At 55.2% G+C, this 2,241-nt stretch overlaps 1 annotated feature.

Annotated features, from left to right (window-relative positions):
- Nucleotides 1,539–2,039: an enhancer, noted in NCBI's record as "H3K4me1 hESC enhancer chrX:68209602-68210102 (GRCh37/hg19 assembly coordinates)". NCBI's record gives its function as "activates a minimal SCP1, AML or CMV promoter by ChIP-STARR-seq in primed H9 embryonic stem cells {active_cell/tissue: H9 hESC(primed)}" and the evidence as "EXISTENCE:reporter gene assay evidence [ECO:0000049][PMID:30033119]".

Below are 2,241 nucleotides of genomic sequence, written 5' to 3' on the forward strand. Positions count from 1 at the left end.
GGAGAGGGAGGTAGAAAGAGAGAGAGAGGAAGGAAGTGGTGGAAGAGTCAACAGCCAGCAGATAAGTGGTGCCCTTGGCTCCCTCTGACCCCTTCTCTGGTGGTGCCCACCCTAGTAATGAAATAGAAGGCTGAATAAATACTCTGAACCATGCTCCTGTTAAAGCAGGGGCCAATCTGAGTGCAGCATGAAATGAGAGGGCCAGGAATCTGAGGTCTGGAGCCAGTCATTTCCTTTTTGGTCCCAGGCCTTGTAAGGCAGGGCTGTGGGCACTGGCCAGGGGCCACTTGGGGGTGGCCACTAGTGCTCTGGTCAGTAGCGGGCAGTGGACCCACTGCTGCCCAGGGAAAGCCTCCTTGTCTCTACACAGGTACTGCTAAAAAGAGCTCTTTTCCAGCCCTGGCCCAGTGCTGCCCCCATTCCTTGGGATAGTGGGGTGTACCAGCCAACATCCCCTAAACTCATGTCTCTGGAGGATCCAGGGCACTCAGTAATGGGGAACAATTCCAGCTCCTTTGAGCACCATGATGCCCCTTCTTCCCACACACATTTCCTGGGCCCCTACTCTGAGACAGGCTGATGTAGACGCACCACATCCTGGCCTCATTTTGTCCTCAGAACCACTAAAGGGGGAGGTCTCCGAAGCTCCATTTTAGACTTGAGGAGTGATGCTCTGAGAATAAAAATGACTTTCCCAGAGTCACCCATCCAGGAAGCAGCAGATCAGGGACTTCAGCCACGATCTGTCTGATTGCACAGTGGATGGCTCCAATCCTCTGTCTCTTGGAAAGGAAGGGCCAAGGGGTTGGAGACACCAGCACAGGCTAGGGCAGAGGTTCCGTGCCTGGAAGGCCCCATGTCATGTCTCACAGGGAGTGTTACAGGCAGAAGTGGCCTCAAGGGTAATCAGGTTCCAACCTAGTTCCTCGTTTGAAAGATGAGGAAAATGGGAACCAAGAGGGAAAAAGGTTTGACTCGGCCAGGGCCTCAGAGCCTGTTAAGTAATGCGACAGAGAGTGGAACATAGAATCAATTCAGATGCTGACTCCATGGTGTGGGTTCAAAGATGCCAGAAAGACCTCTGACATTTGGAAACGAAAATGTTGGTATTTGAGGCACATTTTGATGTTTTTGTGGAGCTAACAGGACCACATATTGAGATTTGAGATGGTCCCAGAAAATTTGTGCTGCATTACTGGCACTTTGACCCTGGAACCATCCAGTCCTAGGGCCTGGGGGTAAGGGGGAGGTGGGCACCTTGGCAGCTGACATCTCAGGCTCAGGGTGACTCTTTAGGCTTCATCAAAGAACAGTGTCTTATAAGGGAGCAAGCAGCTCAGGAATAACTACAGTGCCACTCACACAAGGAGCATGGGCCACTTGAGGAGGCCTCAGCTCCCCGCCTCAGTCAGGAACTATGGCCCAATGCCTTGGTTCCAGAGGACTTAGGAGGATGGAACTAAGGTGGCAGTCCTGGTTGGGGGAACCCTTCCCTATGCCTCTGGACTTGTGAGAACTGGGCCTCTTGGGAGCTTTCCTTTGAACTCTACTAATAAGCCAAAACTGTCCTGAAGCCTTTGCAAATCTCTGCCAGACATCCCCAGCCCAATTCCCACACCCAGGGAGACATCTGCCTGGCTGGGTGCAGGAAAAAGAGGTGGGCCAGAGGGCCAGTGAGGGACCCCAGGGCTTGCCCCCGTAGGCATCTCCCATCTCTCAGGGCCCACCAACAGGGGAAGCTGGCACTCGACAGCCACTCTGGCCCGGAGCAGAGCCCAACCAGGAGATTTTCCCGGTTAGGCCAGTCCAAGCCGATTCCATACAGGCCTGAGGAGGTGACAACCCTATCGACCAGCTCCTCCTGGCCCCCCATTTACATCTTGATTACATTCCTTGGGAAACCGTCCAGGCCACATTCCGCCTGGCAGGCGGCTGGGAAGACCCACAGAGCACTATGGCAACGCTGGAGGGGCCAGGCCCGCCGGCCAGCTGAGCAAGAGCAAGAGCCGCTAGGCTAGGGAACCTCCCTTCTAGGGCCAGCCTAGATTCCTCAACGCCCACCCACCCCACCACCAACCCCAGCCAGCCCCCACTCCATTCAGTGTGCTCCTGTCCTTAGCCCTACTCAACCCCCATCTCCAACCAGACCCATGCACACCGCATCTGCAGGCCTTGACGCAGTGCCAAGCCTAATGCCCAGCTTCCCTGGTCCCAGAGCCTCTGTGAGGGCTGCTGTCTTCC

Source organism: Homo sapiens, chromosome X, assembly GCF_000001405.40.
Source record: "Homo sapiens chromosome X, GRCh38.p14 Primary Assembly".
Lineage (NCBI taxonomy): Eukaryota > Metazoa > Chordata > Mammalia > Primates > Hominidae > Homo > Homo sapiens.